This window comes from Homo sapiens, chromosome 1, assembly GCF_000001405.40.
Source record: "Homo sapiens chromosome 1, GRCh38.p14 Primary Assembly".
Classification (NCBI taxonomy): Eukaryota; Metazoa; Chordata; class Mammalia; order Primates; family Hominidae; genus Homo; species Homo sapiens.
In genome coordinates, this window is record NC_000001.11 from 189,254,854 (window position 1) to 189,271,336 (window position 16,483).

Sequence of the window (16,483 nt, forward strand, 5' to 3'; positions counted from 1 at the left end):
AAAAGCCCCAGGTGGAAGCTATGAGGCATATTCGGCAGGCATGAGAAAGGCTTTCTGCCTTTATTTCCTGTGTTTTATTTATATCCCAGCTTTGGTAAACAACCTAGCCCCTGGATTTGGAATAAAGATCCATTAGGCTTTTAGTGAGCATCCCTTATAATTGTACATAAAAATTGTTCTTTCTTTTTTATTTGTCCAGATTCCTTTATTGCTCATTAAAACATTTTTTAAAATTTTGGCAATTATAAAATAATTAACTCATGTCTTTTAAACTTTGCAAGATGTCACCCTGAGGGTCTATCAAATCATAACATTTCTTAAAGTTTCTTACATGTTTCTGGCATTTTTTTTTTGTAAAAAGAAAACATATCATCTTCTTCTAAAGGGAGATTATGTGATTATATAATATAAAAGATTACATGATTCAACTAAATGTATCCATTAAGCTTTTATCAAGAAAACTAAAATCTATTCTTTTCTAAAAATTCATGTTTTATGGCAAATTCAAGTCAATAAAATTGTGCTAAAATAATTGGAAGCTTCCTCTTCTTCCCTTCCTTGACCTGATGTATTCACTAGGTGATGGGGCCTGATTCATCTTTTGTGGCTCCACTAAGTAACTGTTACTCTTTTCTACATTTAATTATTGTTTTTAAATCATTTGAAAGAACAAAGAACATTAGGCAAAACATTTTTACATTCTCATATAGGACTGAAATTTCGATATATATATATATTTAAATCTCATTTTATTTTTTTTCTTTCAACTTTTCTTTCAGGTTTGGGGGCACATGGGCATACGTGTTACAAGGGTAAATTGTATGTTGCTGGGGTATGGTGTACAAATGGTTTTGTCACCCACGTAGTGAGCACGGTGCCTGACAGGTAGTTTTGCCATCTTCACACTCCTCCTGGTACATGCATTGCCTTGTCTGTTTCTGTTCTCTTTATTTAATCTCCTGAGTTACATCATGCTTACCAAATGCTTAAGATGTGCAGAGGACACAAAACAAAATAAAATACCATCACTGATGCCAAAGAATTTACCAAATGTTGGTTAAATACATATAGTGAAATAAAACACCCTACGAACAAATGGATAACAATTCAATATGACAATTGAAATGGCAGAGATTTCTATGAGGCAGTGGGCAGCAAGGGTTAAACCCATCTTTGGGATACAGTAAATAAAGTGTTTGGAAATCTTCCTGGATTTCTTTATAGAGGAAGAAATTTGACTCTGTTTTTAAAAGTTGAGTAGAAATTCACAAAGCAGAAAACTGAAGAAAATCCAATTATGGCAGAGAAATAACAGTTTTATTCAGGGACAGTCAATCTATTTTATGTTTTTGGTATGTAAAATTTTACTGTTTTTTTTTATTTTTCATAGTCTTTAAATATTATCTTCAGTTAATCTCTGCAAATTAGATGCCAGTATGATACTATTAAAAATGTGAATCACAGATATGACCAGAAAAACTGTAGGTATAGGAAAATCTACACTAATAGTTTGGATAAAAATAGCCTACATTTCACAGATACATGCAAAACTTAATTCTCTTTTTCACCTTTAAAAAATATTAATATCATCTAAATGTTTCAAAAATGCCATTATCTATAAAAGTTCTAAAAATATAAACAATTAGTAACATGTATTTCTATTTCCTACATCATTCCACAAATGATTTCAAGTGATTCTCAGTAACTCTCATAATCATGAGCAGTTTAGACCAAGCTTAATTTCAACATCTAATCTTTTTCTCCTTTTTACTCAATTGCTATTACACTTGTGCTTTAAGTTCATTTAAACAAAATTGTATTCTTTATTTTTGTCAAGTTATCAATCAATTCTTTTACTTCCAGCCACTTAATATTGTCCTAATGATTCATAATTATAATTGATCTCCTTTTAGTACTCTCAGCTATCTCCCCAACTTATTCTATTACAGAACTGACCTATTGCACACCAACCATGGGATATTTTACTCTCTTCTATTTCAAGAAGAATATTGAGCAGTTCTGAGAATTAACCTGAAGTGCACAAACCAGTGCCAACAAAAATTTATTCTCTTCAATTCAAATTAACTCTCTGACCTTTTCTATACATGACTAATAGCATAGAACAGGACCGTTTGATATCATATTATAGGTTATAAATAAGAGAATAAGATTTGGAGTCAGAAGTGCATGCAATAGAAGTTTATCTCTTTTAGTTATCAGTGGTATTATCTGGGGACCTCAGTCTTCACCTGAGAATTCGTAATAAAATAATATTAAAATGTAGATTAAATGAAATCCTGGATGTTGTTTATAACACCCAATCTCTATTAGATAATATTACTCATTAATATTTCCCACACTGGCTATTCTAAAATGTTTTCACTCTCCAAATGTAACTTATGCATTAATTCCATTTACTCTTGTCACATGAATATACATAATACTTCAATGAGAAAATAGAAAGCATCATTATAGAATTTCATGTCTGTTCTTTTCTTTTTGTATCTTATCTAGACTCAAGTTTACCTTTTCCATTTAAATGAATACATACACATGGTTTTCTCTGATTTATTCATTTGTTCTCGACATCTCATTGCTTAATTCATTTTTAGAGAACTGCTTCATTACATCTCCACTACTTTTTGGGGGGGATGTTGGTATTTCCATGTTTTTCAAACTTAAGTCTGTAAAATGTTTGAAATTTTTTAATTAAAAATACTAGAAACCTTTCCAAGATAGCTCTTACTAGCTGTCATCCTTACCTAGCCTCTCCCTTAACACATTAGCTGCACAAATTATTTTTTCTTCATTTCTGTTTGCTCCTCCTCCAATACATTCTTCTGCTGCTAATTCTAATGAAATTTTAAATACCTTTTTTAAGGTTCCTGTCTTTACTTTCCATATACTAATTTGAACATCCTTTATTCTTCAGAGAAACCATAGATCCTCACTGAGAGCAGATTTATTCTTTTTTTTGGAAAGACACATGGTTAATTTTGACTATACCATTATTTACTCCAGTGTACATCAATAAAAGGCAATTTTTTAGGCACATAGTGGAAAAGGGGATTATTTTAAGTACTAGAATACCAGTGTCAGATAACTGAAACTATCAGACATGAAAATCATTCCAATAATTAGTATTCTTTGTGATTTTTCTAAATAGCACGCAAAGCTTAAGTTTTGTTCTAGTCATACTAAAGATTGCAAACATATGTGATGCACATTAGGAGAAAATCTTTGTTTTACTACTTCATGATTGAAGATTAATCACCAGTTATCTCTTACCATCCTTGAAATCACTGTGTTTTATGTTCTAGATAATAATTTAATTTCCCTTTTTATTGCTCACTCCTCTCTGAACTTTTTTTTTTCAAAAACTACTTCTCTACTCTTCAATGTCATTTCTAAAAATTAGAAACAAATGCTGAATGTAAATCAACAAAGGAGACTTATAGTCTCAAACTCAATATGCATCAACTAAATTTATTTTTTTTCTTTACACCATGACACGTGTACATACTCAGGTCATTCCTGTCAAGTACCTTTTCACTTCAAATTTCCTGTCCTGATGGTGAAATTTTTTTACCTCTATTTGGGATATTGTGCTTTTGTTCTAACAAACTCTTAAAAAATTATCTAGCTGCACTTACAGGACTTCACCCTGGTGCCTCTTCCTGTGGGAGGATACTTCTTTCCACTCATTCATATTAATCTAGCCCATGTTACTTTCTCTGGCAAATGAAATGGTATATACCAAATCTGACAGATTATGTAAGAACCATTGTATGACTCTGCTACATGTATTTATTCATTTATTTATTCAATTATTTATTTTTACTGATTTGAGACTTCACAGTCCTTGTTGGAAACTACTTTTTCATCTGAGTCCTGAAGTAAAACACACACACACACACACACACACACACACACACGAAACTGTGTTCTTAGAACATGACTGGCATGCAGTAACAGTTCTGTAATTATTTGTTTCCTTATTGACAAATCGTTTTGTTCTTCAATGTATAATTTTTATTACAGTGAATGCTACGACCACACACTCAGTTACCTAAACCTGAAATGTGGAAATTATCTTTCACCTCTCTGTTCTTTACTTACCCTGTGCAGTTGATATTGTTATGAAGCGATGTCTATTAAGTACATGGATTCTGGAGGTAAAACATCCAGTTTCAAATCACATTCTTTCATTACCTGAATAACTTTGGAAAAGTTAAAATCCCAGTGCCTTGATACCCACATCAGTAAAATTATATGCAAATGTTTGCTATTGTCCATATTCACAATATCTAATGTTATTCTTATTTGTTCTTTTCTTTGCCATCATCAGTCTGTATTAGTTTAGATAGCTGTCATTTCTAATTTGAATATTGAATTTTTTTTTCAAAAACACCCCATTCCTTTTTAAGTTTTTTTCAATCCAATGCTTCACTACAATTAGAATAATACTCCCAAAACACAATACTGATTATTTTACATTTTCCTTGAAGCATCTCAGTAGAGATTCCAAAATCACTGTGTTTCAATGGCCTACATGAAGTTTTATCTGCTTGTTTGAAGAAGATTATTTCTCATTACATACTTTAATTGTAGCCAAATTTAGGGTAAGGCCAAAGGCAAACTCAGGACTTCTGAATCCAAAGCGAGTATTCTTCGCCAGTTTGCCTCAATTTGTTATAATATTTAATGTACCTAAAGAAAAGAATCTATACATTTTGTTTCTGAGATATTTAATGAAAACATGCTATTTAGTTGTAAACTTAACAAGTTTACCAATGAAGCAAAACCGCCAGTTGTGTGGCAAGAGTGAAGCCATTTTCAAGCAAAACTGCAATGAGGACTAGTTTGCTCCATACATACCAAGGTGTTCTAAAATAAGATCCTTAAATAATGCCAACAACATGGATAACCCCTCATAAAGATCCTTATCAAACCTTCCCAGTGATTACATATCTTGACAAGAAAATCTTAAGACATTCTGCTGCACATTTTACTCTAAAAGCTTGCTATATAAAGAATACTTTCTGGAGGGCTGGTGTGGGGATTCACGTTCTCATAGCTGCCCAAGTCATTGCTTCTGTTTGTAATTCCCCAGTAAATGTTTCGTTTTGAGAAACAATTTGTCAGTCTCTTTCTTTGGCCTCTTATTTCCCTCCCCACTTTTGAGGTAGGTTTGCATATACCTGCTCACTGTAGAACAACCAACCAAGTATTTGTCTTTCGTCTCCTGCAACAAATTAAATAAATAATTATTATAAGTGATTTTTAATGATATATTTATTTAATATGGAATCAAATATTGTATAAGATTAAACTACAGTTTACCCTAAGACACTAAGACAAACATCATGTGATTACATATTTATGTTTTATGTTTGAGTTTAGAGATTATCTTTGGCTTTTATTTTCGTATTAGCCTAAAATGTGGCCGGTTTTCCTTTTCAAAACAATTCCATCTCTATCTTTCTAAAATTTGTTTCATTCAAATTAAATAGTATTATGTGGAGTAAGGTACATAAATTAATTGATTATTTGAACTTAAATTTATATGATTAAATTGGATCTGCTACCCTAAAAATACTTTTTTTTTTGTTTTTGTTTTTAATTTTTTTTATTATACTTTAAGTTCTGGGATACTTGTGTAGAACGTGCAGGTTTGTTACATAGGTATACACATGCTCTGGTGGTTTGCCGTACCCATCAACCCATCATCTACATTAGTTACTTCTCCTAATGCTATCCCTTCCCTACCCCCGCACCACCTGACAGGCCCTGGTGTGTGATGTTCCCTTCCCTGTGTCTGTATGTTCTCATTGTTCAACTCCCAATTATGAGTGGGAACATGCAGTGTTTGAATTTCTGTTCTTGTATTAGTTTGCTGAGAATGATGGTTTCCAGCTTCAACCATGTCCCTGCAAAGAACATGAACTCATCCTTTTTGATGGCTGCATAGTATTCCATGGTGTATATGTGCCACATTTTCTTTATCCAGTCTATCATTGATGGGCATTTGGGCTAGTTCCAAGTCTTTTTTATTTTATTAATCTATTGTTAACAGTGTCACAATAAACATATGTGTGCATGTGTCTTTATAGTATAATGATTTATAATCCTTTGGGTATATATTCAGTAATGGGATTGCTGGGTCAAATGGTATTTCTGGTTCTAGATCCTTGAGGAATCGCCACACTGTCTTCCACAATGGCTGAACTAATTTACATTCCCACCAACAGTGTAAAAGCTTTTTTATTTCTCCACATCCTCTCCTGTTGCTGTTTCCTGACTTTCTAATGATTACCATTCTGTTGTTTCCTGACTTTCTAATGATTACCATACTGACTGGCATGAGATGTTATCTCCTTATGATTTTATTTGCATTTCTCTAATGACCAGTGATGATGAGCTTTTTCTCATATGTTTCTTGTCTGCGTAAATGTCTTCTTTTGAGAAGTGTCTGTTCATATCCTTTGCCCATTTTTTGATGGGGTTGCTTGTTTTTTTCTTGCAAATTTGTTTAAGTTCTTTGTAGATTCTGAATATTAGCCCTTTGTCAGATTGGTAGGTTGCAAAAATTTTCTCCCATTCTGTAGGTTGCCTGTTCACTCTGATGATAATTTCTTTTGCTGTGCAGAAGCTCTTTAGTTTAATTAGATCCCATTTGTCAATTTTGGCTTCTGTTGCCATTGCTTTGGGTATTTAGTCATGAAATCTTTGCCTATGCCTGTGTCCTGAATGGCATTGCCCAGGTTTTCTTCTAGGGTTTTTATGGCTTTAGGTCTTGTGTTTAAGTATTTAATCCATCTTGAATTAATTTTTGTATAAGGTGTAAGGAAGGGGTCCAAGTTCTGTTTTCTGCATATGACTAGCCATTTTTCCCAACACCATTTATTAAATAGGGAATACTTTCCCCATTGCTTGTTTTTGTCAGGCTTGTCAAAGATCAGATGGTTGTAGATGTATGTGTTATTTCTGAGGCCTCTGTTCTGTTCCATTGTTCTATATATCTGTTTTGGTACCAGTACCATGCTGTTTTGGTTACTGTAGCTTTGTAGTATAGTTTGAAGACAGGTAGCATACAAAATCATTAGTGAACTCTGATTCATAATTGCTAAAAAGAGAATAAAATACCTAGGAATACAATTTACAAGGGATGTGAAGGACCTCTTCAATGAGAACTACAAACCACTGCTCAAGGAAATAAGAAAGGACACAAACAAATAGAAAAACATTCCATGCTCATGGATGGGAAGAATCAATATCATGAAAATGGCCATACTACCAAAAGTAATTTATAGTTTCAATGCTATCCCCATCAAGCTACCATTGACTTTCTTCACAGAATTAGAAAAAACTACTTTAAATTTCATATGAAACCAAAAAAGAGCCTGCATAGCCAAGACAATCCTAAGCAAAGAGAACAAAGCTACAAAGCTGAAAAAATAAGTTTTAAATAAACAACTTGAATAAATATGTTATTTTTATCAATGAATTTGAGAATAATATTTGAAAATATCATTACTGAGTTTCCATAGGGTTACACCACAAAATTTAAAAAGAAAAAAATAAACCACAAAAATTCTGTGGTATTCAATTTTATAATTGTTTTGTTTTCACTGTAACTTATTTAACTTCTCATTATTCAAACAATAGGTGAAAAGAACGCTTGTGTGTTATTTATAATTAAAATTGAGATGGATTTACCACCTACTGTTTATTGTCAGTATATTTTCCAAAAGCAGTGGAAAAATTTATCTTCTACTAATGTTCAATTTATGAACATTCATATTTTTGTTTCAGTGGAAAATATCACTCTATCAACTGCAGAAATAAATGCATATTAATAGGCAAAAGTAGGTTTACTCATTTTAAGATGCTGCAAGATGCTGGTGTTTTATCAGATAAGCACATAATCTTTACCTCAACATAAAAATGTATATCATTACAAAAAGTCCTTCTGAACATTTTAGTAAATGAATTGTACCAAATTTGAAAATCTACTCAATAAGTAGACTTGAAACTAGAAAAATTAAGGAAAAAACCTTACAACTTACAAAAGTGATCTTAGAAGGAAAATCAGAGATAAGATATTATGATATCCACCTTGTGTTTTCATAGGATCATTCAATATTAAAAATGAAAGAAGTCATTAAAACCATGTTATCAAATTCCCAATATTGATGCTTCTTTCAATAGCAACCTTAACAAATAGTAATCTAATTGAATAATCTCATACCAATTATATTGATTCTTAATTTAATTATTAAAATTCCATTTCTACTTAGAAATATTCTATTATTGTTAAATTTAGTTTTAATAAATTATGTAAACATGAGGATGACACAGACAGCCTACTCTTTTAGATTATTGTCATTTTCTGCTTCTAGAAGCTACTCAGAGAATGAGAACTTGGCTAAGAAATAAGGAAATTCTGAATTATAGGCTTGGCTTGTGTTTGAGGCTAACTAACCCTTATGGGTTTTATTTTTCTCATATTTTAAATCAAGTGTCCAAGCTTTGACAACTATGCTACTTTCCTACTCTCAATTTCAATAAATATAGTCGTTAATAAAACTGAGCTGGTATTACATTTCTATTTCTTTTTATAAAATAGTCACTAAACTATTCTGTACATCTAAACACTTTCCTCCAAACTTTTCAACACTATATGAAAAATTATTAAAATAATTTAAGTTTTGCTATTAATAATTAGTTCTTCAAATAATTATAGTATTTAAACCGCAGGTTGTAACTGAAATGTAAGTTTTTACAGGAAATATTTATTTCAGTCCCAGAATGTATAAGCTTACATTAATTTGTATGACTAACTTAAATATATTGTTCATTTTTGCTTTTCGGTGCGTGGACTATAACTATGGTGTTTTATCTGCCACATCTGTTAGTTTTCTTTAAGATAAATGTATCTGTTAATTAATTCATTTAAATGTCTCCATTTTAATGAATTTGTAAGCAAAATCTGGAGAAATAATTTTAATGAAATTAGTGAGACAAATAAAATTGTAATTAACATTTCTATGAATGACGTTAGTGAAATTTATTTTCAGGTATAGTAATTAATAAAAACTTTAATTTATTACAGAATTAGAATATTTTGTACCTGAAGTGACATAGAATCAACCGTAATTCTTCATATAGTACTAAATTATATGAGAAGGGGCACTCATTTTGATGTGTTCTGATCCTCTCATTCCTTTTTGCATTGCTTTATATTGTTAGTTGTGTATCAGAATACCATGATGAAAAACCTCTACCAAGGTTTGGTGATGAGAAATAAAACAAAGTGTAAATATAATAAATCAGAACCAGAAACAATCCGTGCTTTTTCCTAAGACAGCTATTAGTCACAATAATTTTATAATTTTTATAAATTCATAAGTTGCTAATTATTTTTTGCATAATTAAACACTTATACAAATGCTTATCACATTTTTCCATAAATTACCTTTATTTAAAATATGCCCTATGATTTTATCATTATATGCATTGGTTTTCTCATATTTGCTCATGGCATCACAAATTAATAAAATATGTTTTAACATGAGTAGATATTTTTCAAAACATTTTGTATAATATTAATTGTGCCCACGGTACAGCCATGTTATGTGAACTGAAAAAATGGTTCAGAGCCCCAACAACCTTTATTTCATTCTTATTCCTTCAATATTGAAAGTATACTATATGTTTCTGATGTGCTATAAGAGATAGTTAATTACACTTCTGTATACATAAAATGTTTCCTAGAAGATAATTTTAATTTTGTATAAATTACTTCATTTAATTGAAGGTCAGAAATTACCAAATAATCCTAAAAAATAAGAATTACCATGATAACATGCCAAATAAAATTCAATAAAAGTAAATTATGTGGTAATTTAACACATATAGATAAATACAAAAATTCAGAATAATATAAAATGAAATCGAATTATACACTGAATTTATATATTACCTAAGGTGATTTGTTTAAATATTCAAGAATGGTTAACATTTCAAAATATTTACACTTCACAATATGATAATTAAATAATAAAATATTTCAGTAGTGTACAGTCAATTTAAAAAGTTATCTATTCATGCTGAAATAGATTACCATATTATAGAAACTGGAAAGTGAATTATGAAACAATTCTATTTATATATTTAAATTTGATAAATAATAGTGGTGTCATCCAAAATTAGTAGGAAAATAATATTCACAAATTAGATAGAACTCTTTTTTTTGATATGTAAAATAAAAATTTCAGATGAACTAAAGACCAGAACATATAAAATAAACCTAGAAAAAACTCCAGAAAACAAAAATTTGTAAGTACTAGAATAAAATATAAATAAAATGGAATAATATCTAGCAACATTTTAATAATATTAAAAATGAAAATCATAAAGAACATGTTAAAATATTTTTCCAGCAATTTGTAAAATTTTATGTAACAATAAAAACTCATAATTTTTAGCAGGTAACAGTCTGGGAAGCAATATATCAACATAAACAATATTTATAAGAAAATTATATTGTAGTCAGCTTAGTCCCTGGTTCAGCTAGCTAGGTCTGAGTTCTTGTTCTATGGCCAAGAAGAATAAGGGACATGGACACTGGAGAGTGATTAGAGTAGGATTTGTTAAGCGAAATGATAGCTTTCAGCAAAGAAAGGGGACCTGAAATAGGGTTGCCAGAGATGGGGCTAAATTCTGGGTGATTTATGTGGCAAGAACAAGGGATTCTTCTGTGGGTTATGCTCAAAATGGTGGGGGGGTGGTAATGTTCCCTTTTAAGGGTGTTGCCTCTGCACATGCCTGGGATTGGCCAGAGTGACTCTATCTGGTTATTACCCATGAGTGCCTAAGTGAAACCCATGGGAGGGTCTAAAACCACAATGCTAGTGTCCTGTTATCACAAATTCATAATTTGTGATCAAGATAATTCCTTAACAGTCCTTTCTGAGCAAAATGCTGGCATAAGGGAAAGTTCTTAACATTTCTTCCCATTAGCTACAGGTGCAGTGCAGACGCACCCTCTGAAGCAGTAACTCTAACTGCTGTTAGGGAAAAAGGGGAGATGACCACTCTGGCTTCTTTAAACTGTGAGGGATTGTCATTTGTGTGGCAGTCAGGGGTCCTCCAGAGGGAGGTCTAGTGGGCCTTGGAAAAAGGACTGTTTCCCATGGGATTCCATCTGCGTCACCATTTGAATTTTGATGGCCTCAAGGTGAGAAGAAACACATTTTACAAGGAGGTTTAATACGCAGGGTCCAAAAAGCAGGACCAAGATAACCATTACCAGGGTTCCTAACAAGGGGAGAAAGCATGCCATTGAGAGAAGATATCCTTGAATGGTATTCCATATTTTTCCGTCCATAGAGCTCTTAGCATCTCTTAACCATGTAGCTCTATGAAGTAGATGGTTAGCCCTAAATTCAACCTTTCCTGAAGAGTTAACATAGAAGCAACAAGAAGTGTTTACTATAGCATATACCCTTCATTTTTTTGCTAACAGTCTTTGAGCCGATTGAAAAGTTCTATCTTTTCCTAGGTAAAAGGATTGGTGAAAGATTTTTAAGAGCTGTCCATTGTCTGGTGTCTGGCAAATGAAGTTTGCTGTCCTCCAATTGTAGCGATTCCAAGGGCTAAAAAGCATATCCTTAAAAAGTGGCCCATTCTCTCTCTGCAGAAGAATACTGAGGTTTTATTTCTCTTATGGCATCCTTCCAGATTCAAGGGACCTCAAGTGTATTGAAACTCTGGACCCTTTTTGCTGCTGACTTAGATATTTGGTCTTCCAATCTATTTCCCTTGGCTATTTCATCTATCCCCTTTTGGTGACCTTTACAATGTAAAGTGTTACTTCACATAGAAGGAAACTGAAGACAATACTTTGTCAATTTCCTGATGGTATTTAATGGGAGACCCATTAGCTGTGAGGAAATATCTTTCTTTCCAGATATTGACATGGGTACAGAGGAATAGGACAGCATATGTAGAATCAGTATAAATATTAAGTGATTTCCCTTTACTTAATTCAAACACCCTTGTGAGAGTGATCAGCTCAGCTAGTTGAGCACTTGTGCCTGGGGAGAGAATCACACCCTCAATAATGTCACTCATGGTGACTACTGCATATCCTGTTTTATGGATTCTTTTTTCTACAAAATAACTTTTGTCCATAAATAGAATCCATTTGAGAGGTGAAGCTGGTTGGGCTTCTGGGTCATATGGGGACCTGGAGAACTTTTCTGTCTAGCTAAAGGATTGTAAATGCACCAATCAGCGCTCTGTGTCTAGCTAAAGGTTTGTAAACACACCAATCAGCATTCTGTAAAAACACACCAATCAGTGCTCTGTGTCTAGCTAATTGGATGGGGACCTGGAGAACTTTTCTGTCTAGCTAAAGGATTGTAAATGCACCAATCAGCGCTCTGTGTCTAGCTAAAGGTTTGTAAACACACCAATCAGCACTGTGTAAAAACACAAAAATCAGCGCTCTGTGTCTAGCTAAAGGTTTGTAAGTGCACCAATCAGCACTCTGTAAAAATGGACCAACCAGCATTCTGTAAAATGGACGTATCAGCAGGATGTGGGTGGGGTCAAATAAGGGGATAAAAGCTGGCCACCTGAGCCAGCAGCGGCAACCCGCTTGGGTCCCCTTCCGCGCTGTGGAAGCTTTGTTCTTTCACTCTTTGCAATAAGTCCTGCTGCTGCTCACTCTTTGGGTCTGCATTACCTTTATGAGCTGTAACACTCACTGCGAAGGTCTGCAGCTTCACTCCTGAAGTAGGCAAGACCACAAACCCACTGGAAGGAAGAAACTCCGGACACATCTGAACATCTGAAGGAACAAACTCTGGACACACCAAATTTAAGAACTGTAACACTGCGAGGTTCCGTGGCTTCATTCTTGAAGTCAGAGAGACCAAGAATCCACTGGAAGGAACCAATTCCAGACACACATTCTAGGTTTTCTAAGGCAATTTCTTTGAGCTTCTTCCTGGCCACATAGGTTTATACCACTATCTTTTCACTGTCATGCTCAGGCTCTCCAGCTTCCTCTGGGAGGTAGGTGGCTGGGTTTACACAGAGACAGGTTCTTAACTAGACTGTACATCCCTCTAACAGCAGAGCCTCAAATTTGAAGAGGTGGTTGTCTGTTAGTCAGAGATTCCCTTTAGAGAACATCAGTCCTGCCACATTATGGGGAATATAAACTGTTAAGTTATTCCCTGTGGTTAACTTAGTAGCCTCCGGCACCAGCAAGGCTACTGCGGCAACTACTCAGAGACAGGACAGCCATGCTTTAGCTACCAAATCAAGCTCCTTGCTTAGGTAGCCTATGGACTACTTGGCTGGATCTTGGGCCTGCGTTAGAACTCCCAGGGTCGTTCCCTTCCTTTCTGATACATAAAGCTTGAATGTCTTTTCTAAGGGAAGACTAAGGTCTGGTGCCTTAAGCAAGGCTTGCTTTGATTGGTTAAAGATCCCTTTAGCCTCTGATCTCCAAAGTATTGAGTGAGTCTTAGCTGCCTGAGTCTCCTTTATGAGGTGATATACAAGGTAAGCCATCTCACCATACCCAGGTATCCATAATCTGCAAATTATGGATCCCCTCAGCTGTTTGAGGATTTGGGGGAGGAGAAAAGAAGAGATGGGCTTAATACTTTCTTTGTTGAGTGCTCTGATAACTTCTGAGAAGGATAGACCAAGGTAGTTCACTACAGTTTGACAGAACTGAGTCTTATATTTTGAAACCTTATATCCACTGTCAGCTAGAAATTTGAGAAGAGCCTTAGTGCCCTCCTGAGAGGGTTCCTTGGTTGGGGCACAGAGGAGAATGTCATCTACATATTGCAAAACTTTAACCTGAGGATGAAAAAACTCAGAGATCTCTTAACAAGACCTGCCCAAGCAAGTACGAGCTGTCTCAGAATCCCTGAGGCAGCACCATCCAGGTTAACTGAATGGCTTGGTGGGAGATATCCTCAAATGCAAACAGGTATTGGGAGTCAGAGTGTAATGGTATGTGGAAAAAGACCTCCTTCAAGTCCAGGACTGTGAACCATTTAGTTTCCTCAGGTATTTGAGTTAGCAAACTATAGGGTTTGGGAACCACAAGATGAATTGGAACCATAGGCTAATTAATGAAGCAGAGGTCTTGGACTAGTCCCCATTCCCTGCTGCGTTCCTGTAACCCCAACAAAAAACAAAAAACCCAAATAAAAAACACTTTTTTTTTTTCTTTCTGCTGTGACCCTCTCTGTATCCTCTGGGTCCCAGTGACCTTCATAGGTGCCACCAATGGATGGAAGCATTACCTTCATCCATGGATTCTGGGGGCTAGTTGCCATGTGTAATCATGCTTACCTGTCCTATTCCTTCGCTTTGGATTCTTTGCCATCCTAGCCTAGTTGCCTTTCTAGATTTCCATCTTGGGCCCCCAAAGAGACACTGGGATAGCTGAATTTGGGCCAAAAGCCTCAATGGAGGGGACCTTCTAAGGCAGTCCCTAAATTCTTTCTTCATTATGCAGTTCAGAGATTGGGCCAGAATAAGACATGCCAGAAAATGGGAATGATTAATCTCCAAATATAGTTCCTCATTTTTGTCTAAGTGCTATTGCACCTGGAGACGAAAGAGATGCTTCTAAAGAACCTACATGTCAGGCTGGTTCCTTTCCTTCTGTGGAGACAGCATAGAAGCAAACATCTGTCTGCCTAGGCTTTCTTCTTCCTCCCTATCATAAGGTAATTTTTTTTTTTTATTTTCAAATGGGGCAAGGGACATGGCCTCTGCTGAGTGGCCAGAGGGAGGTATGTAATTGGAAAACTAAGAGTTTTGGGCAGAAGACTGATTGGGCTCCCTAAGGAAAGAAGTCCCATCTCATCAGGTGGCTTAATAGGGATGGAAATGTAAAGCTGTATCTTTGTCTCCAAATACCTTTTTTTTTGAGATGGAGTTTCACTCTTATTGCCCAGGCTGGAGTGCAATGGTGTGATCTCGGCTCACTGCAACCTCCCGAGTAGCTGGGATTACAGCCATGCACCACCATGCCTGACTAATTTTTGTGATTTTAGTAATTTTGTAATTTTAGTAGAATTTAGTAATTTTGTAAATTTTGTAATTTTTGTAAATTTAGTAGAAATTTTAGTAGAAATTTAGTTTCTCCATGTTGGTCAGGCTTGTCTCAAATTCCTGACCTCAAGATATCCACCTGCCTTGGCCTGCCAAAGTGCTGGGATTATAGGCATGACCCACTGTGCCCGGCCATTCTTTTAATGCAGAATTTGGAAAGAGAGGTTTGGGGCTTGATAGGCTGTCCCACAATATGCTTCCCAGCAGAAGAAAATTAATTTGTTTCACAGAGGGGCTGCTTAAATTCATTGGATTGTGCTGATTTCTCACATGGGGAAAGAAACAGGCCAAATGGAGAGGAGGGTGTCTATTTGGGGTGAAATATCTTTCTATACTGTGTCATCTATAGACATCATAGGTAGAAAAAGAAGTCCTTAGACTGAAACCTTGAAATCCCCCTGTCTCAAGGAAATCACATACACACAAAAAAAACCCTTTGAGCTGCATTTCTGTTTGCTAAGGCACCTGCTGATTTTACCGAACAAAATTATATCTCCAGGCTGCAAAAGCACATGCAACTTTGCATACAAAGAAGAAATTGAAGCCATAACAGCTGCAAAATTAAAAAAAAAAACAGAGAAAATATGATACAAAAAGCCTGGAAGTCCTGGTGCTGACACTGTAATGGGCTGATGGGTACTGAAGTTAGTCTAGGGGCATTTGGGTAAGACTGTGTGGTAGCCTCATCCTGATACCCTCAGTTGCCACAGGACCTCCTTCCAGTTCCATGGGATGGCTAGACCTCCATAAAGAGAAACTGGACTGGAACGCAGCAAACATTCTCAACACCCGAGGGCAATGGTGGATTGACAAAGTCCTCTCTAGCAAGCCTGTCCTCTGAGTCTTTAGTCTGGCAGATGTGCTGTTTGCTCTAAAGTGGCCGATAGAGGCTCAGCATTTTATTTGATCTTGAAAAAAATCTGAGGACAAGAATCCTCGGAAATGAAAATAAAAAATTAGAAGTCTGCTCCTACTCACCCTTCCAATGATCCCAGATGAGATCCCAAAATGTTGTAGTCGCCTTAGTCCTTAGTTCAGCTGGCTTAGTCCTTAGTTCAGCTGTGTCTGAGTTCTTGTGTCATGACCAAGAATAAGGCACATAGGCATCAGAGAATGAGTAGAGTAGGATTACTTAAGAAATAAGAAATCTTTCAGCAAAGAGAGGGTGCTTGAGAGCAAGTTGCCAGAGATGGGGCTAAATTCTGGGTGTTTTATGTGGCAAGCAGAAGCAAGTCTTCTGTTGGTTCTGCCCAATATGGGAGGGGTAAAGTTTCCCCCAAAGGTGTTGCATCTGCACATGCCTGGGGTTGGCTAGAGTGACTTCATC

The 16,483-nt window shown here is 35.0% G+C and overlaps 1 long non-coding RNA gene across 2 annotated transcripts in view, besides 1 other annotated feature; it reads left to right on the forward strand.

Moving 5' to 3' along the window:
* The window catches only part of LOC105371657 (uncharacterized), a 453,818-nt gene that overhangs the window by 105,091 nt on the left and 332,244 nt on the right, over positions 1–16,483 (forward strand). The window lies entirely within an intron of this gene.
* Positions 14,251–14,451: a silencer, noted in NCBI's record as "peak539 fragment used in MPRA reporter construct". NCBI's record gives its function as "represses an SCP1 promoter by STARR-seq MPRAs in K562 erythroleukemia cells {active_cell/tissue: K562}" and the evidence as "EXISTENCE:reporter gene assay evidence [ECO:0000049][PMID:32103011]".